General features: G+C 38.4%; 1 long non-coding RNA gene across 1 annotated transcript in view, besides 2 other annotated features; it reads left to right on the top strand.

Annotated features, from left to right (window-relative positions):
- LMCD1-AS1 (LMCD1 antisense RNA 1) overlaps positions 1-21,391 on the top strand; it is a 280,512-nt gene extending 259,121 nt beyond the window's left edge. Inside the window, exon 4 of the long non-coding RNA NR_033378.1 lies at positions 19,819-21,391. This is a non-coding gene — a long non-coding RNA (LMCD1 antisense RNA 1). The remainder of the gene's footprint in view (positions 1-19,818) is intronic.
- Positions 12,305-12,804: an enhancer, noted in NCBI's record as "H3K27ac hESC enhancer chr3:8271421-8271920 (GRCh37/hg19 assembly coordinates)". NCBI's record gives its function as "activates a minimal SCP1, AML or CMV promoter by ChIP-STARR-seq in naive H9 embryonic stem cells {active_cell/tissue: H9 hESC(naive)}" and the evidence as "EXISTENCE:reporter gene assay evidence [ECO:0000049][PMID:30033119]".
- Positions 12,805-13,306: an enhancer, noted in NCBI's record as "H3K27ac hESC enhancer chr3:8270919-8271420 (GRCh37/hg19 assembly coordinates)". NCBI's record gives its function as "activates a minimal SCP1, AML or CMV promoter by ChIP-STARR-seq in naive H9 embryonic stem cells {active_cell/tissue: H9 hESC(naive)}" and the evidence as "EXISTENCE:reporter gene assay evidence [ECO:0000049][PMID:30033119]".
- Positions 21,392-21,777: the final 386 nt, after the last annotated feature.

The raw sequence follows: 21,777 nt of genomic DNA, 5'->3' as shown, positions 1-21,777 counted from the left end.
TTATTCTGCCTTTAGTCTTATAGACTCCACTCATTTTCAAAGTTACTTAGATCAGCATCTCTCTCCCTAACCCCTTTCAGTGAGGTTGTTTCATACAATTGTAATACTGTTAAAACGTCACATTCTGGATTCCATCCTGGAATCTTCAACCTCTTGAATGATTTTTAAATGTATAACATGTAGACTATTGTTAACAAAATTGTATTGGATTAGGAAATTTTGTTAAAATCCCTCTTATCGAAAGAGGTAATTATATGAGCTGAGAGATAACATTAATTTGCTTCACTATAGCAATTATTTTACTATCTATATGTATCCCACAATGTCATGTTGTAAACCTCAAATATGAACAATAAATTTAGTTTAAAAATCTGTAGACATTAAAGTTCACTCTGTGCATATAGTTCTAAGGGTTTTGACTAATCTGTACTGTCATGTACCCACCATTATAGTACCATACAGAACAGCTTCACCACCCTAAAAATACCCTCTATGCTTCATTCACCTAGTCAACCCTTTTCTTCATCTTTGAAACCTTTGGCAAACACTGATCTTTTTACCATTGCTATAGTTTTGCCTTTCCAGAATGCCATATAATTGTAACCATACAGTATGTAGTATTTTTAGAGTGACTTCCTTCACTTAGCAGTATATATTTAAGAGTCATCTGTAACTTTCCATGGCTTGATAGCTAATTTATTTGTATTCTGTTATATGAATAATGTATATCCATATAATATATGTAATACTATATATCCATATAAACAGAATAAAATATAATTTTAAGATAAATAGGTTATATGGACATAGCACAGTTTGTTAATCCATTCCACATCTATTAAAGAACATCTTGCTTGATTTCAGTGGTTAGTGATTATGTATATAGACGCTGTGAAGATTCACAGGTAGGTTTTTGTGTAGAGTTTTATTTATTTTTATTATCCTTTAAGTTCTAAGGTACATGTGCACAACGTGCAGGTTTGTTACATATGTATACATGTGCCATGTTGGTGTGCTGGACCCGTTAACTCATCATTTACATTAGATATCTCTCCTAATGCTATCCCTCCCCCCTCCCCCCAGAGAAGTTTTCAAATCATTTGGGTAAATACCCAGGAGTGTGATTAATGGGTTGTGTGATAAAACTATATTTAGCTTTGTAATAAACTGCCAAACTTTCTTCTAAAGTGGCCATATCATTTTGCATTCCCACCAGCAGTATCTGAAAGTTCCTGTTTTTCCACATCCTTGCCAACAATTGGTATTGTTATTATTTTTAATTTAGCTATTCTAGTAGGTATGCATTTGGTGTCTCATTGTTCAATTTATAATTAACTAATGACAAATGATATTGAGCATATTTTTATATATTCACTTGTCATCTGTATATCTTCTTTGGCAAGATGTGTGTTATTTTTAATCTGATCAACTTTTCCAACCCTGTCAATCTCTCTTTGCTTGTTATTGTGGCTTTTGTCTGATTTTATTATTAGCAAAAACACAAAACTCTTTGAGACCTTCAAGAGGGTTATGTGCTTAATTGGAATAAATGGCTAGAAAGAACCTGTTTGGAACCTGTTGGCCTGCAGTGACTAATGGGTGCTGAAACCTAGTCTTTGAGTCCAGAGTTAAAAGGACATGAAATAATTCAGATGTGACTTGGAAGGATCTCTCAGTGGTCCCAACATCTTTCTTCAATCTCTATCATTTTTATATTTCATGGCATTCGTGTTCCTATTTGTCAGTTAGAGATCACTTGGCCATCTCTTCTAATGGCCAGTAGAATCATTCTGGGAGCACATCATCCTGGCTGAAGATCTAAGCAGTCCATGGATCTGAACCATCTCTCATGAGAAGGTATTCAGAATTAAGACAATTAGAATGGTTCAAGCATCATTCTTCCTCTCATATTTGTAGAAATTCTAGTATTTGTTGCATACTCACTTAGTTCTAGTTTGATGGATGGACTTGCTGAAAATCTGGCAGGACTGTTCAAACTCTCTGGCAGCTATGAGGCTATGGCTCGCCATCTAGAGTACAGCTTGGGTGGCAAAGAAAACTCTTGGCATGCTGCTTCACTAAGACTTGTAAACAATAATTAAGTGGACTGATGTATCATAATTCTGCTGTTTCATTTCCTTCTTTCAAAATACATGAAGGAGTTTTAGTTCTGGATGATAAACGACAAGAATCGTAGCACTCTGCACTTAAACCAAATGAGCTCAATGAGGGTATACAATTCTTGCAATTACAATTTTACTGCTTTGCATATATTCACAATGGAAGAAGAAAACAAGGAGACACAGGCTTCTTGGCTTGCTGAATGGGAGCTCATAAAACTTTGTGGGGTCTAGTTGTGTGACCATTTGGAATCCAGTCCCAGCTCTGTCTGCGGCTGGTTCTATCACCCTGGGTGAAACATTCACTCTCTGAGCATTAGTCCCCAGGTTGAAAATGAGTAAGTGGAGGCAGATGATATCTGTTTTCCTTTCAGATGTATTAACAATATGTGATGATAATACATTCCAAGAACAGGCTGCAGTCCTTGTGCAAAGGGGAAACAAGAAGAGCTGGTAGTGGGGCATTTATGAGACATGTATTGACTCTAGTCAGCCACCAGGGGACATCCAAGAGCACATCTACATAGCTGTACAGCTCAAAGTTTGTAAATCAAATTCTTATACATTGAATCTTTCTTTCCTAGTGACAAAGTATCAGAGCTATAAACTATCAGGAAAAAAGTGACTCCTAGAGATAAAAAATGTATGATCCAGGATATTATTAGTTTTAGCAGCAGTATTTAAAGGGAAAGTACTAAATATATCTTTGACATTATTTCACCTTGCATTAAATTAGACTTGTGGTAAGGCAAAAATTATATAAGTTCATGAAAATAACTTAATTTATTTTGGTTATGTTTTTATGTTTGCAAGGGTGGGACCAGGGTGATTTCAATGATCACTGTGGCATATTGAGCATGCCACCCCAGGCATTCAGAATTGCCATTCCTAAGTTTTGTGGGTGTTTAGCATTCGAAATACAGCTTTCAGTCTGTGACATGGAAATCTTTTGATGTCTTAGGCTTCTGAATTGAGAAGGAGTGGGGCCTTAAATGGGGGACAAGAATTCAACTAATCAGAACAGTGTAAGCCTCATTAGAAACTAGCAAATTGGCTTATGGACCGTGTGCCTCAATCTCATATGTTTGATTACCTGAGTCAGCCTTCCCATGTCAGGCAACTCTGGGACTTAGGCCAAGTTAAGGCTCAGGCCACAGGTTATGGGGCCATCTACTCAAGGAAACCTCTTAGTACAGCATCCTCTACTTCTTTTCAGAAAATCCTTTCCTCTTCTTGTTGACTTTTCATTTAGACCATCACCTGCCTAGATCCCTTGACTTCTCACTCAGGCTTTCCTGTTCACCAATGTTGCCAACTCACTCGCACAAGCAAATGCATTTCTATGTCTACCTCTGGATGGCAACCATTCTCATTGCTCACCTCATCCATCTACGCTACCAGAAATTCTTCCAAGCTCCCACAGTTGTATTTATAGATTTACTCTTGTATTAATAGTTTGGCACTTAGTATCGTGTTGATCTTCACTGACTGTTAATTGAACAAAATGAATTAAACTCAAGGAAAGAAAGAAAATCAGACAGACAAAACTTAGACTAAATTTCTGGTGAATGTAAAAGCTACCATGTAAGAAAAAGCTTTAGCTTCCAGAAGAGGTACTTAAAAAAAAAAAAAAAAAAAAAAAGGAGAGGAAAGAGAAAGAGGAAGAGGAGGAGGAGAAGCAATGATAATTTTGTGCCAGAGAAAACTGGAGCTAAAATTTAGAAACAGACTCACATGCTATCCTGGGCTTCCAACTAGAAGAGAAATCACAAATATTTGCATTGCATAATATGTCGATATAGCCTTACATGAACCCACCACATAGCTCATTTATTGTCAAACATCTAAAACTCAGCCTTTACATACAGATAGGTTCTTCAAATGCTGTTTGCTTTGCATATCACAGAAACAAATAAAATATAATAAACAATTTCTGCTTGAACTAGCCTCTGGTAATTAGGACAGGATGACTGGGCCAACTTTAGAAATCAAAATAACTTACAGTTTCCAGCATAGCTGATATTCAGCCAGTCTAACCTAGCAAAGTCCTAGTGAAGTGTTGTTTATGGCACATCCATTCTGATTTGGTTCTAACTGTCTGGATTGGGCAATGTTTCTGCTGTATTGTCTAGTACACGTTTTAACTCTCACCCTTAATTTTGAGTAAAATATTCTCCATCCACAACTTTCTCTTAGAGAAGGCAGCTAAAATGTATGAATGACCTGTTACGTGCCTTATAACTTCCATTTAAGGTAGAGTATTTGCCTCATGATATGCATGTGAAATTGACGGTTCTGTAAAGTCAAGTGTTACTTAAGGGCACATTCTTAAGAGGCCACGTCGAGAGCTGAATCCTGGCTTGTACATTTTATTCTCCTTTTATTCTCCTTAAGTAATCACATTCCTAATCTTTCCCTACCTTCTTATGAGAGTCCAGAGTTATGTAAAAGTATGTATGTCATCTTCACATGTTTAATTAATTCTGCCCCAAAGCAGGCATAAGGTGAAAGGCATGAAGTAAACTCATAGTTCCAAAACTTCAGGGATAAAATCACTATATTGTTGTCTTTTTGTTACTTTAAACATTACTATGTTTCTAGTTAGAAGAAAACACACACATATACACTCTCCAAAAACACATAATGTGGCTACTGCTGTCTTTCATTGTCTTTCTCTCATAGTCTCTTCCTGTGTAATTTTCTGAACTATTTCATGCCTTACTTTTTGAATCAAAAGCTAAATTTTGTGGCAGCAACTATATTTTTGCAGCTCATTTGATCCATTATTTCTATTTGCAACTTATTACAGTCTACCTTCAAGTGATATTACAAGGCCACACATAGTGCAAGAATCCTAAAACAGGGTACTTCCAATTCCTCTCTTTTGTCCTTTGTGCAATTGTCATCATACATTTTTACTTTTACAAATGCTGCAAACTCTGCAAAACAATGTCACAAAGTTTTCTTTAGTGGATTTTCTTTTAGCGCCATTACAAGAAAGAAAAAAAAAATTATGTTTACTTTTATTTTGGCCATTTCAGATCTCTTTATTTCTTTATGTAAATGCAAGTTTCTGTCTGATTATGCTTCTGCCTAAAGAACATCCTTTGAAATTTCTTAGAGTACATGATTGCTGGTGATAAATTGTATGTTAATATATGAGCCCAAGAAAGCCTTTATTTATTTATTTATTTATTTATTTTATTTTGTTTTACTTTATTTTTTTGAGACAGAGTCTTGCTGTGTCGCCCAGGCTGGAGTGCAGTGGAGCAATCTCTGCTCACTGCAAGCTCCACCTCCCAGGGTCACGGCATTCTCCTGCCTCAGCCTCCCGAGTAGCTGGGACTACAGATGCCCGCCACCACGCCTGGCTAATTTTTTTTTTTTTTTTTTGTATTTTTAGTAGAGATGGGGTTTCACCGTGTTAGCCAGGATGGTCTTGATCTCCTGACCTTGTGATCCGCCCACCTCGGCCTCCCAGAGTGCTGGGATTAGAGGCATGAGCCACCGCACCCAGTCTCTTTTGACTTTATTTTTAAGTAAATGTTTATTTTAGGACAATTTTAGTTATATAGCAAACAGAAAGTTCCCATATGCTCCCCATCCAGTTTCCCATTAACATCTTAATGTTATGTTAGTATGGTACATTGTGGCATAATGTTGATTAAGTTATTATTACCTTAGTTGCATATAAAATTCCTCATGAAATATAAAAATATGTAAAAGTTATATTGTCATCATTACATTTGTATGGTATACCTGTTAAAATTAATAGGTAAATATTAATTGTTTTATGATGGTTACAGACTGATTTACTTAGCTTTTACCTAATGTCCTTTTTCTGCTCCCGAATCCCCAGAATCCCACCGAAGATACCACATTACATTTCGTCAACATGTCTCTTTAGGTTCCTCTTGGTTGTGACAGTTTCTCAGTCTTTCCCTGTTATTGATGACATTGACAGTTTTAAGAATTACTGGTTGTTTGGTAGACTGTCCTACAGTTGAGTTTTCTCTGATGTTTTTCTCATAATTAGACTGGGGTTGTCCATCTCAGGCAGAAGATCACAGAGGCAGTGTCTTTTTTTAAATATTTTTTTCAATTTTTAATTAATTAATTAATTTATTTATTTATTTTGAGATAGATTCTCACTCTGTCTCTCAGGCTGGAGTGCAGTGGCACAACCTCGGCTCACTGCAACCTCCGCCCCCTGGGTTCAAGTGATTCTCCTGTCTCAGCCTCCCAAGTATCTGGGATTACAGGCACGCACCACCATACCTGGCTAATTTTTGTATTTTTAGTAGAGACAGGGTTTCACTATATTGACCAGGCTGGTCTCAAATTCTTGACCTCAGGTGATCCTCCCACCTTGGGCTTCCAAAGTGCTGGGATTACAGGCGTGAGCCACCATGCCCAGCTAATTTTTGTATTTTTAGTAGAGGCGGGGTGGGAGTGTCATTTGTACCACATCATATCAAGTTTAAATACTATTGGTGTGACTTGTCGCTATTGATGCTGACCTCGATCACCTACCTGTGGTAGCATTTGTCACCACAATTGTGGTAGCATTTTGACACTATAAAGCTATTTCTATTTTTCCCCCTTTCCATACTGTATTCTTTTTGAGGAAGTCACTATGTGCACCACACACTTGAGGAATGGGGAATTATGCCCCACCCTGTGAGGGTAGAGTTTCTGCGTAAGTTACTTGGAATTCTGCATAAAGATTTCCATTGTCTCTTCACTCTTATTTATTATTTGTATGTTCAACTATTTACTTATATCAAATGGACTCAGAGATGTTGATTTTATACTTTGCATATTAATCCAGTACTATCTTATTCTGTTGCTTTAACAGTTCTAGCTTTGGCCATTGGGAGCTTGAAATATTTTATCCTACTCTTTTCTCACTTGCATGGTTTCTGATGAGAAGTCTACTGTAATCCATATTCTTGCTCCACTATAAACAAAGTGTTTTTTCCCTCTGGCTTCTTACAAGATTTTCTCTTCTCTTATTTACTCGTTTATGTTCACTTTGAAGAAAATATGTTTAAGTGTATTTTTTGGCATTTATCCTACTTGGTGCCTCAGAGCTGCCTGGTTCTGTGGTTAATTGTCATTAGTTTTAGGAAGTTCTTGGCCATTATTATTTCAATTATCTCTTCCACTCTGTTTTCTGTTCCTTCTCCTACTGGCTTTCCCATTTCAGTTATATTACTCTTTTTGAAATTGCCCCACAGTTCTTGGAGGTTCTAGTTTTTTATTTCTTTGCATTTCAATTTGAAAAATTCCTATTGACCGTTTTTAAACTTATTTATTGTTTCCTCAGTCTGGATCAGTCTACTTTCAAGCCTACCGAAGGCATTCTTTGTTTCTATTACAAGGTTTCTGATGTTTGGCATTTCCTGTTACTTCTTTCTTAGAGTTTCCATTTCTTTGCTTGTATTGCCCACCTGCTATTTCCCCTTGATCTTTGCAATTTACTCAGTGGTGACATCACCTGCTAACTCAAAATTAAGGCTCAAAACATAAGCAAGTGGGATGGAAAGATGGGATGTAGGGTCCCTGGGCTTGGATCTGATGTTCAACTCTATTGCTCTCTAGATTGTAACTTGGGACAAGTCTCTTAACTTTCTCCTAATTTCTGTTTTCTCACACTCTAAAATAAAAGTGAAAACATCTATATCTTAACCCTGCAAGAGGATTAAATTAACTTGTGAATGTGACAGAGTGCTCTTCAACTCCAAAGTTCTGTGGAAATGTTGACTCTTATTATAACATCACATTCTACTCCCCTGGAAGAGATAGGCCAGAATAATAGACCCATTCAACTTTGATAGTAAATTTTCTCTCAGTGTTCATATGTGTTCATTCTCATGGTGAGTACATAGATTTGAGCAGTAGCTTAGTTTGTTAATCTGTGTCTTGACATATTTGACTGACTAAGAGGATTTTCTTTTCTTGCAAGCTGAGAAATGGAAAATTAGAAAGCTTTAAGATCTCAGACTTAAAACAATGGTCAGTGGAGGAAACATAAACTTAATATGAATACCATGGAGGTGTAGCAAAAACCAGATTATTTTATAGAAAAAAAATTATAGCCTGAAAAGAAAACATATTTGTATGTTTTCGGAAGACTTGCTAGTCCCAAATTTACCTTCTGGCTGAAAGGTTTTATGGTGTGGAGATGAATTTTCTTTGCTACTTTTAACTAACTCTCTGATTTTGATCTGCAACTCAGCTCCATTCTGATCGAAACTGAAACAATAGCTAGCTTACAAACAATAAATGAGAACTGTGGCCACAAATCTAATGCTGCACTTGAGGTGACAATGATGTGACAAATCTTTCTTCACAGCTTGAGTTGACTGTTTTATTTGGTCATAATTTTCATGGACTTATGTTGGTATTTGTATATTTCTACTCCATCTCCCTTTTGATTAAAAGGGTATTAGAATACAGAGGGGTGTGTGTGTGTGTGTGTGTGTGTGTGTGTGTTTATATGTGTATGTGTGCATGCAGGCATGAATGTACACATTGGAAGGCAAAATTGGCATCAGCCAAGCATTAAAATTCCTTCTTTCATCTTTCAATTGTGTCCCAAAGAACTGTGTTTATGCCTCAATATACCAACTCTTAAACTACCCATCCCCCTAGAAAAATGCATTTAAGGTTAGAGATGACCTCAACTTTTATTTGGCATACATTAGAGGGCCTAAAAATTGTTTTGTATATAACAAGTGCTAATTAGTGTGCCCATGTTGTTTATCATATACCTTTGTCTATTACAATTTCATAAAAACAGAATAAAACAAGGACTATCTAGGGCAAACCAGGATGTATGGTTACCCATCAACATACATTGGCTGATTCTGAACTGAATCACAGTCTTTCCTATGGCTAATTTTTTTTCCCTCAGAACTTAGTGGAACAGTCAGCCTGGTCAAAAGAAAAAATGTCGTACTTGATTGCAATAATAATGTGAATCAACTTTGATTGAGCCCCTATGTTCCAGGTTCATCTCATTAAATCCTCACCACAACACTATGAGATAGATGTGGCTATATTTCTCCTCTTATTGATGAGGAAACTGAGTCTCTCAGATGTTGAGTAACTCTCCCAAGATTGCACCACTAGGTTCACAGTGCTGGCTCCAGATTCAGAGTGCCCAGGTTTGAATCTGAAATACAAAATGGGCATGGAATCCTAGTTCAAGAAATATCATGGGCATCCGTGAAACAATGTATTTAAAAAGTTTTGCAAATGGTAAATTACTCAAATGTGAATTGCATGCCAATGTGTAGTTTTTTGCAGGATATAGTGCCAGAGCAGTGGGAGGTGATTTTATCCCCAAGGAAATTTGGCAGAGTCAGGAAACATTTTCAGCTGTCACAAATGGGAGGGGGGATTGTTATTGGCATCTAGTGAATAGAGGCTAGGGACACTGTTATACATCCTACGATGCACAGGATGCCCTCCCATAATAAAGAATTATCCAGCCTCAAATGTCAACCATGTCAGGGTTGAGAAACTCTGTGCTATAAAAATACAGATTAAGAAAATGTGAACCTTGGCTTTTAAAAGCTCACAGCTTAAGTGGGGAAATAGACACATAGGTAAATATGAAAAATACAATGCAGGGGCTGAGGGCAGGGGCTCACGCCTGTAATTCCAACACTTTGAGAGGCCTAAGAGGGAGGATTGCTTGAAGCAGGGAGTTTGAGAGCAGCCTGGGCAACAAAGCAAGAATCCTGTCTCTACAAAACAAAAACAAAAACCAGGCAGTGGTGCAGCAGAAGTGGTTCAGTGAGATGGAGAAATTCAGATGAAGAGAGGGAAGGGATGTAGCACCATCTTGAGCTATTTAAGGGCTGTAATGTGAAAGAGGGAGAGGGCTTTTTATGTGTAACCCTAAGTGGTAGATAGATTTCAGCTTCAGAAAAGATGAGCCAATAAGCTCCTTGCAGGTATGAAATGTGTGTGTCTCTTCAACAGTTACATCCTCATGTCTAGAACAGTGCCTGACAATGGAGTAAGGCTTAATAAATGCTTGTCGAATAATAGTGAAATAGATAAATGGATGAACTCAAGCATCCAAGGGCAAGTTTTGAAAGTTAAGATTGAGTCCCATCAGAAGATTATCTGATTTTATGACAGTAATTCTCCAGGATTTGGGAAAGAGAGCTCTTCTCTGTGGCTAGTTACCAGGTGAGGTTTGCAGGAAGGAGAGAAAATGGAGCCTCTTTTCTGCATCAGAAACGATTATGAACAAAGATGTAGGCTTTAGCAAACTAGAAGTGTGGCCTTCTTCTAACAAAATGAGCCCTATATGAAATTCTGGAAAATAGAAGAGGAACATAGATGAGTGACCCACTTGGGGTAGGTATGATAATAGCAACTGTTCCTCTTTTGTCAATTTGTCTTCTGTGTAGGATACATGTGTCGCTGGAATAAGCAATGAATAAACACACATGCATATACAAATAAAATATTTTCTGTTGTTATTATTAATTCATCATCATATGAGGTATGGTAAATGGAAACTCTAAAACATTCTTTCAGCATTTACCTTTCATCTTTCTCAAATAATTATTATCAAACAGAAAAAATAGAACAGTGGATTTCATAAGTATTTCATGGAAAAAAGTTAGATGGCTGTATTTATAAAATTTACCCACTGAAATTATAGTATCTGTGTACACTTAATATCCTCAAAGTCCCTGGGTTTTCATTAACTTGTATCTTTGAATTTTTGGAATGTGTGGGATTCTACAGTAATATATTTACAATGTGCGAAGATGACTTGCTGATTGCCACACTGAACAGTAGCCTAGGGGCATGTCAAACTTTGATGTGAGCTGGTGTTTTCTGTATTGTCCAAGTTTTTATTATACCTAAACGATCAAAGACTGCTCTTGTCTTTCTCAATGTGCAGCAGAAGACTGTATTTTGTTAAAAGATCAGAAATAAATGAAAATTAAAATGTCCAGGTTTTGACAGGTTTGAACAATAGTGTGATTAGTGATTCCAGTTCTGCAGAAAGTTGTCATTTTCTGCGTTTTACTACTTGTTCCATGTAATGCTAAAATACTAGTGCCAATAGTAGTATTTAATTTAAAATGGTTCAGAATTCCCAAATTTAGTAAATGAGTGAAACTAAATATTAAATATATTTCAAAATATAAATTTATAAGCACTTTGAAATGCAGGTAAAATGTAAATTTATGAAAATACTAATGTTATATAAGCACTATACTTATCATATAAAATATTAGCCATACTGCTTTGTGGCATCTTTCAACTTCAGTCCTCAGCCATTTTGATTTCTGTCTCCTGGTTGACCTTAGGGGTGGTCTTGGCCCTTAGTTCTTCTCTTCCCTTAGCCTTGGTGGAGATAGCTGCATGCTTTACAAGGCTTCTCTCACCAGCTTCATTTTCAGTCTTGATGATGAAAATTGTGATGATGATGTTGACTGGTGTTGTTGCTATTATTATTAGATAGGACATTAAGGGAAGATGGAAGAAATCAGGAGAGTTTCAGGAGCTCAGTGATATAAAGGGGCTGGGTGAGTTTGTGGAAGGGCATTGAAGATGGGCATGAGGAGGCTGGGAAAAAGAAGGAGACAGGAACCGAAGAGTGGATCAAGAAAGGTAGAGAAAGTTACTGACTCATACCTGAAATAATGCTATTACAGTAACAAAATTCCTGGCATTGGTATGTAAAAATAACATAGATTGAGTTTTGGTCCAAGTAAGATGTTATAGACCTATTCTCTCTGCTCCTCTCTGCTAAGCACAACTACAAACCCTGGAAATGGTACAAGAGACAACCAAAGGAGAGCTCTGACACATGGTCAGAAGCAGGTTAGCTGGTGCAGAGCCCTAGGTCTGGAGGAACAACGTAGTGGCAGAATGTTTTGAAGCTCCTCACCCAACAGAAGAAAGCCATCACAACTGGCATTTCCTGATACCTGATCTAGCAACAGAAAACAGCTCAGGAACACTTTTTCCCAGTGGATTGGACAAAAGTCCCTCTGACACCATCAGGTGAGCCTGATACCACCTGCAAGTGAGATAGATTGAGAGCTCTGCCAAAGACAAGAAGCTGCTTCTCCTTCCTCACTGGTTGAAGACTCCCATTTTATACCAAGAGATACAGAGGAAAGGTGGGCAGAGCTGGCAAGAGAGACTCAGGTACAGCAAGCTGCCCTGTCTAGAAAATGTCTTTGTAACTGCAGGCCCAAGACTTTTCTCCTGACCCCAAAACTCCAGGCTGGCACAAAGAACCAGAAAAAGGAACCCAGTTACAGCAAGTGGCCTAGTCCAGGAAACCTCTTTTGTCCTCAAGGTCCAAGACTCTACTCCTTTGCTCACAGTCACTGGTAGTCAGGGAGGACGCTGGTAAAGGAGATCCCCTCATACCATCTCTCATTGAGAAACACCTGGTGGCCCAGCCTGGGGAACCTCCTTTTTGCCCCACTGGGGCAGCACCATCGGGGGCTGGAAAGGGCCCCATCATCAACCACATAAACCAAGCAGATCAAAATAAAACTACAGAAACTCTAAAAATTAAGCTTTGGCCTGGCATGGTGGCTCATGCCTATAATCCTAGCATTTTGGGAGGCCATGGCAGTGTATCACTTGAGGTCAGGAGTTCGAGACCAGCCTGGCCTACATGGTGAAACCCTGTCTCTACTAAAAATACAGAAATTAGCTGGGCTGGTGGCACACTCCCGTAGTCTCAACTACTTGGGAGGTTGAGGCAGGAGAATTGCTTGAACCCAGGAGGCAGAGGTTGCAGTTAGCCAAGACTGTGCCACTGCACTCCAGCCTGGATGACAGAGTGAGGCTCTGTCTCAAACAAACAAACGAACAAACAATCAGAAAAACTTCAATTGAAAAAAAAGCTCACAAAAATTAGGCCAAGATCTGTGTGCAAAATCTGAACTGAGTGACCCTGTGCTAAAATAAAATATATAGAAGCCACAGTCTCTTAACATGAAAGTCAAAATGTCTAACATATATTGAAAATTATCTATCATAGCAACAATCAATAAAATTGCAAACTGAATGAGAAAAGACAACTGACACCAATAACAAAGAGTTACACATTGGAATTATTGACAAGAATGCTAAAGCAGAAATCATAAAATACTTCAACAATCTACTACAAACTATCTGGAAATAAATTTAAAAATGGAAATTCTCAGAAAAAAATAGAAGTTATAGGAAATAATTTAAAAAATTACAGAACTGAAAACTGCAATTAAAAAAATCGAAACCTTCTGAATGGGCTAAGCAGTAGAGTGGAGGATAGAATCAGTTAAGTTGAGCACAGATCCACTCAATCTGAACAAAAAGAGAAAACAGACTGAAAAAAAGTATGAATAGAGCTTTAGGAATCTGTACATTAAAAACAAAAGATCTAATATTTTATCATTGGAATCTCAGAAGCAGAGGAGAAAGAGAGTGATGCTGAATGATTGTTCAAAGGAATAGTTGTTGAAAACTTTTCTAATATGGCAAAGACATAAATCTAAAGATCTAAGAAACTGAGTAAACCTCAAATAGGATAAACCCAAAGAAATCCACACACCAAAATACAGCTTAATTACACGTTTGAAAGCTAAATACAAAGAAAAAACACTGAATGCAGCCAGGGAGAGATAGAATGCATAACCTACATGGAAACACATATTCACTGTAGATTTCTTGTCCGAAACTGTGGATACCAGAGGAAGTGGCAGAACATGTTTTGAAGTGTTGAAAGAAAGGAATTGTCAGTTGTGAATTCTATATCGAATGAAGCTATACTTCAGGAATAAAAGGAAAACGGAAACATTCTCAGATAAAGGAAAATAGAAAGAATAAAAATTTGTCACTGACAATTCTACCCTGAAATGTTATAATTAAGGAGGTTCTTTAAACTAAAATTACAAAATAAAAAAGAAGAATTTGGGGGCAACAGGAAGGAAAAGGGAATGATGGAAAGACCATATATGTGGACACTCACAATAGACCATTCTTTTCAACTATTTCTTTGAACAATCATTCAGCATCACTGTCTTTCTCCCCTCTTTCTGAGATTTCAGTGATAAAATATCAGATCTTTTGTTTCTGACCCCCAGATCCCTAAGGCTCTGTTCATGATTTTTTTTCAGTCTCTTTGCTCTTTTTGTTCAGATTGGATGGATCTGTGTTCAACCTCACTGATTCTAGCCTCCACTCTACTGTTTAGCTCATTAAGCAGAGATATAAATCACCTTTGGTGATTGAAATAAAAATTGTAACATCATCTGATACTCAAGACAATGATATTTAAAAGTGGGAAGGATAAAAAACTTAATGAAAGTGAGGTTTCTCTACTTCCTTTGGTAAAATGGTGAATAGTGTTAAAATGTTGATATTAATAGCTTGCTGTAAGCAGTAGACTGTTGGATCATTGTGATATGTACATATATATGTATATATAGTGTGTATATACTATATATACATGTATGCATTAACATACAAACATTTGCATTTATGTATACATATGTGAAGATATACAGTGTGGGTATAGTATATATACTACATAGTATATATGGTGAATTTAGTATATTTTAGTGTATATATAGTATATGTTATATATAGTGTATATACAGTGTGTGTATATATAGTGCATATATATTTAATATATTTTAGTGTATAAAACACTATATTTATATACTATATATACACTAAATATATATGCATATATATGATATTTAGTATATTTTAGTGTATATATACCCTATATTTAGTGTATATATAGTGTGTATATATAGTGCATATATATATGTGATACTAGTACACACCTATTAAAATGTTAACATAGAAAATAGTGACAACACCAAATGCTGAGGGGGATGCAGAGAAACTGGCTCACTCATACTTTGCTGATGGGAATGTAAAATTGTACAGCCATTCTGGAAAATAGTTTGGCAGTTCTTACAAAACTAAACATGTCATTACTGTACAACCCAGGAAATGCACTCTTGGGTATTTATCACAGAGAAACGAACTTATGTTTACACAAAAATCTGTACCTGAATATTCATGCAACTCTATTTATAATTGCCCCAAACTGGAAAAAACCTAGATATTCTTCAATGGATGAATGGTTAAACAAAGTATGGTATTACATAGTATGAACTATTACTGAGTAGTAAAAGGAACAAACTATTGATACATGCTCAAGCTGGATGAATTTCCAGGGAATTAGGCTGAATTAAAAAAGTGAATCCAAACAGGTTATATACTGCATTATTCCATTTATACAACATTTTTGAAATAAACATAATTTAGAAATAGAGGGCAGATTAGTGGGGGCCAAGGGTAACAGTTGTAGGTATGAAGGGTTGGGAAGGAGGTAGGTGTAGTTGTAACAGCAACGCAGGAATCCTTGTGGGGTTGAAATTATTCAGTGTCTTTACTGTGGTGGTAGGTACACAAACCCGCACACATGGTAAAATTGTATGTAACTGAATACACACACACACACACACACACACACACACACCAACGAGCATAAGTAAAACTTGGGAAATCTGAATAAGATTGGTGGATTGAGTCAATATTAATATCCCTGTTGGCGTGTTATACTAGAGTTTCCCAAAATGTTACTATTGGAAGAAACTGGGCAAAGTGGGCGATATGATCTCTGTATTATTTCCCACAACTTGTGTGAATCTACAATTATCTCAATAAAAACCTTAATCGAAATTGATTTTTAAAAAAAAACATAGGTTATTAGAATATTTCTAAAGCAGGACTGCAAATATCAGTATGGCAGGCATTTTGTATAGCTGGAATCTTGAAACAGGGTAGGGATACAGTGTGATGAGAGAGGTGAGAAAGTGGTGTTAGAGGTTGAGATCAGAATGGTAAATGAAGGCCTGGTGACAAAGACTCCTGTATGTTTTATAAAAGACACTAGTGGGCATTATATAGGCAATGGAGGGCTCCAAGCTCGGACAGGAGAAGGATGGACGCAGGTGGAGGGATTCTTTTTATGTAGATAATTACCTTGACATTGTGGAAAGGAAACAAACACAGACTTAAAAGACACTTTGACCTTCTAGCTGCATGTTCTTGGCAAGACATTTAATCTGTTTTATGCTTTGTTTTCTTTTTTCTTTTCTTTCTTTTTTTTTTTTTTTGAGACGGCGTCTCGCTCTGTCGCCCAGGTTGGAGTGCAGTGGCGCAATCTCGGTTCACTGCAAGCTCCGCCTCCCGGGTTCACGCCATTCTCCTGCCTCAGCCCCCTGAGTAGCTGGGACTACAGGCGCCCGCCACCATGCCTGGTAAATTTTTGTGTATTTTTAGTAGAGACGGGGTTTCACCGTGTTAGCCAGGATGGTCTCCATCTCCTGACCTCGTGATCCGCCCGCCTCGGCCTCCCAAAGTGCTGGGATTACAGGCGTGAGCCACCACGCCCGGCCTATGCTTTGTTTTCTTAGCTGTCAATTGAGTTAGAACATACCCCTTCAATTATTTTATCGTTTGTGTGAGGGTCAAAGAGTATCATGTGTACAAAAATCCTTTGTCAACTGTAGTATGCATTTCTCATCTAATGAATGAAGATTGTCACATTGGCACGTTTCCATGCTTCAATTAAGATTCTATTACAGGCCAGGCAAGGTGGCTCATGCCTGTAATCCCAGCACTTTGGGAGGCCGAGGCAGGCAGGTCACGAGGTCAGGAGTCCAAGACCCACAAGTTCGAGACCAGCCTGACCAACATGGTGAAACCCCGTCTCTACTAAAAATACAAAAATAAGCCAGGCATGGTGGCACGCACCTGTAATCCCAGCTGCTCGGGAGGCTGAGGCAGGAGAACTGCTTGAACCTGGGAGGCAGAAGTTGCAGTGAGCCGAGATCGCGCCACTGCACTCCAGCCTGGGTAACAGAGCAAGACTCTGTCTCAGAAAAAAAAAAAAAAAAGAAAAAAAGAAAGATTCTATTATATATGTTAGATCTGACATACATAACATGGTCATTAATAAATGATTTGATGATTAATACATTAAACGGCTTCACTTAATTTTTTTAAAAAGCATACAATGCCAGTACACAGCCAGTTTTGTTTCCCTCTTGTGACACTGGCATATGCAAGGAAACATTTGAGTTTAAAGAAAATTAAAAGAATTCATCACGTCTCTCCCTTTTGGCTGGAAAAGTTTCCCTGCTCAGATTTTTCACTGTGCTGCACTGAAGTTTCGTTTGAGTGTTGCCCCATCACAGCAAATGTATGTTACTTATTTCCACACATAACAGATTATGCTTTCATTAACATCCCAGCTGCTGCATTTCTCTTCCAGCTTTTTAACTTCCGTAAATTCACATCTTTACATGTTCTCGTTATATAGATTAAGTTCCACAAAGCAACAGAAATGCAATTTGTTTTTAAAATTTCGAAGCAATTTTAATGTGGACAAAGCCGTATCTAAGATAATCACATTGAGAAGTTTGTTTCCTATGTTTTATTATCTACAAAGACTTTTTTCCTTAATGTAGTAGCATCACTATTCTCATCTCACCATCTTTGTTCATTTTCACTCCTTTTTCTGTAAAATTAGGACTTTTCTTTTGAGGCTCACTTCCTTGGAAATCTGACCTACTCTTTCCTGTGGACGACCCTTAATTCTGTACACTCAAATCTGGCCTTTCTCCTAGATGTTAATTAGACCTTTCTAACTTCTGCCAGGCATTTCTGCTTGGCTATCCCATCTTTCCATCAAATGTACCAGAAGGACGCCATATTACACACAACACTCTGTTCTTTTCCCATCTTTCAAATAGCTCCTGTCCTTTAAGTGATCAATGTCACTTAGAGCTTCTGCTCCACAAAACCAGAGACACCAGAATTATCCTGGCATCCTTCTGCCTGTTATTATCATTTCCAGTCAGTCATTGAAGACCTCTTAATTTGCCCATCAGGCAATTTCCCCAGCAATTTGTTCTCCTTGATCATTGTTGTTACATTATGCTATTACCATATATCTAAAGTGTTGCACTTGCTTCCCAACTCTTCCAACTTCTTATCTTTGCTCTGCTAAAATATTTCCAATGCCTGCCATTCTGATGCTCAAAATGTCATGGATTTTTATTGCTTGTACCATAAATTTAAAATTCTCTGACTAGCTGCAATGGATTGAATTTGCTGTTTCCAATTCTTCGCTTCCCATAATAGGAATATATATTCCAGCCTTTGCAGTACCTCTCCACGTCAGCAGAGTATATACTTGTCCACTGTGTGACTTTTAGGGCCTAAGGGGACAGGAGTGGGCACGATGCAAACAGAGGTCTGCTGGCAAGGATTTCCTTTCTGTGCTCTACCATAAGAAAAGCATGCCCCCGGCAGTCCTTATTATATTAGCCTGGCAGCAGAATGAAGACCTGCGAGTGACCCTGAGCTCAAGCCGCAGTCTCAGGCAGAGCTGCTGGCACTGACCCAAACACTCATGAGTGAGAAAAAAAAAATGAATTCCTTGTTGTAAACCTCTGGGATTTGGGAGTTGTTGGTTACACAGTATTACTACAGCCATAATAAATGACTGTCCTGACATTCAAGGACTCAAATTCTCTTTCTCATCTTTTAAACACCCCCACATATGGGAATGCTTAAAGCTGGTAAAGTGGTCTCTGTAACATGTCCCCTTCACATTTTTTGACCATTTTCCTCACCTTTTGCTCTTCCACTGGTTGTTCAGTTTCCAATATCTTTCTTCTTCTGTCGTTTTTGCTGCGATGACCACAACTCCTGGTGATGTTTCCCATCTTCAAACTACTTAGTGTTCACATCTCTTATTTCACAACTCAAACTTTGTCTGGTATTGTTAGTTCTCTAAAAGCATATATCAGACTCCATTAGTCCCCTTTTCAAAATCTCCCAAGAGACACCTCTGCCCTCAGGATGGAGAACAAGCTTCTTACTACAAACTGTACAGCACCAGCCTCATTTATTGCTGTCTCCCTACTCATAAGCCCTCCTCTAGCCATGCTGGGCAGTTTTCATTTCCTGGAACACATTGTACTGTCTTCACTTTTGGATGTTTGTGCATTTTGTTCCTTACACTTGAATCACTTTTCCCTCTACCTCTGTCCCCTCAACACATACTTGAATCCAGACAGTTACCATAGTATGCCAGGCGTTACATTGCAAAGCCTCTTTCTTCCTCTCCATAGCTAGATCATGTCCCTTGTCTCAGTCAAGATGGGCTACTCTGAGCTGCAGACACAAATCAGAACCCAGAGCCTTGGTGGCTTTACCAGCAAAACAGCATTTCTCTCGCTTATGTCCAACAAGTCAATTTCAGGGAGGATGGGGAGGCTCTACTTCACTCGCACAGTCACCTACAGGTTGAGAGGAGCTCTGCCACGCTGGAGCTGCACCAGCTAGAACCTATGATGCTACTCTTCTTCTAGACCACAGCCCCAACTAGCTCCAAGGCCCCAACCTCAAAGCCAGGAGGTGTGGAAGCTTAGTGGGTCTCATAGAATACTTGGAGATCACTAGTCATCTTCACTACATGTTTCCCAGAGGTGCTTCTATGAACGTCCAGGTCTTATCCTTTATCACACATAGCATCATGGCATCTTCTTATCTTGTCTGTGTCTGTATGAACTTAAAGATCCTGAGGGCAGACACTGTACCTGATTTCATGTCATCTTTTCAGGAGCAAATTCAGGACCTGACACATAAGAACTGGTGGAGAATTACCTGCAGAATAGATGCTGAATCTTTGTGCCTCTCTGCTCTCCAAGAAGATGGCATGCTCCTTGATGACAAGAGCCACCTCTGATCTCCCCCATCCAGTCAAAATCTTCCAGAAAACAGACCATCAATATGGATTTGCAGCATGTATTGTGATTGTTTAACATAATTTTCCAACAGCCAATTATGTGTGGCCACTATACGTAGATATTTCTTTAGCTCATATTTTAATACCTGTCCTGTCATTCTACATTACATATGTGGAAGACCTTTAACCCAGTTTAGTTTATATATAATAAGTACAAAAGGGAAAAAAGAAAGCTTCCTTTTTTCACCTCTTTGGGGACTTCTTCAGTCTTTTTCCAGATGTGGAATCCAGATCGTGTTATTTTCTTTCCAGACTGGGCCTAGGAGCAATACGTTAAGAGTCAGCAAAGCCTCAAGAATCATCCAGCTCTTCAGCAAAGCCTCAAGAATCATCCAGCTCTTTTCTCCTCTTCAAAGTTGCCCTTCTTTTCTCTGAACATTAATGTATCTCTCTGTATCACTTATCCATTGCTGTGCAGCAAACTACCTCAAAACCTAGCACTTTCAGTCAGCAAACACTTATCAGTTTACAGAGTTTCTGAGATCAGAAGTCAAGGAGTGGTTCACGTCGGTGGTTCTGGCTCAGTCTCTCATGGGGCTGCAGTGGAGGTGCAGAATCTGACGGGGCTGACGATTCACTTCCAAGCTCACCTCACTGGTGCGGCTGTTTTCAGGACAACTCAGCTCCCTGCCACATGGGCCTCTCCATAGAAAGCTTATAACACAGCAGCTGGCTTCCCCCAGAGTAAGTGATTCAAGAGAGCAAGCCACCAAGGCTGGGTGCGGTGGCTCACACCTGTAATCCCAGCACTTTGGGAGGCGGAGGTGGATGGATCACCTGAGGTCAGGAGTGTGAGACCAGCCTGGCCAACAGAGCGAAACCCTGTCTCTGGGAAAAATACAAAAATTAGCCAGGCATGATGTGATGGTGGGCGCCTGTGATCCCAGCTACTCTGGAGGCTGAGGCAAGAGAATTGCTTGATCCTGGGGGGCAGAGGTTGCAGTGAGCTGAGATAAAAAAGAGAGAGCAAGCCACCAAATGGGAGCCACACACCCTTTTATAATCTGGTCTCTGAAGTCATCCATTGTATCCTATTCTGTAGAAGTAAATCACTAAGTCCAGTCCCGGAAGGGCAATTAGACTCTATCTCTTGAAGGAAGAAGTATGAATTTTTGCATGGACAGTCATGCACTGCCTAATGACGTTTTGTCAATGATGGACCACATATGTAACGGTGGTCCCATTAGATAATAATGGAACTGAACAGTTCCTGCTGCCTAATGACACTGAGGCCACCATAACATCATGGTGCAAGACATTCCTTATGTGTTTGTGGTGATGCCGGTGGAAACAAACCTACTGTGCTGCCAGTTGTACAAATGTCTAGGCCATACAATTATGTACAGTGCGTAATACTTGAACATAATAACAAATGACTATGCTACTAGTTTGTGTGTTTACTATATTATATTTTTATCATTATTTTAGAGTGTACTCCTTCTATTTATTTTTAAGGAAAAGTTAACTGTGAAACAGCGTCAAGCAGGTCTTTAAGAGGTTTTCCAGAAGAAGGCATTGTTATCTTAGGAGATGACAGCTCCATGCATGTTATTGCCCCAAAGACCTTCCCGTGAGATAAGATGTGGGGGTGGAAGACAGTAATATTGATGATCCTGACCCTGTGTAGGCCTAGGCTAATGTGTGTGTTTATGTGTTAGCTTTTAGCAAAAATGTTTAAGATGTAAAAAATAAATAAAACTTTTTAAAAGGAGAAAAAAAGCTTACAGATTAAGGATATAAAAAAGAGAATATTTTTGTACGGCTGTACAATCT

This window comes from Homo sapiens, chromosome 3, assembly GCF_000001405.40.
Source record: "Homo sapiens chromosome 3, GRCh38.p14 Primary Assembly".
Classification (NCBI taxonomy): Eukaryota; Metazoa; Chordata; class Mammalia; order Primates; family Hominidae; genus Homo; species Homo sapiens.
Note: the sequence above shows the minus strand (reverse complement) of the source record. Positions and strands in the feature narration are given on the sequence as shown.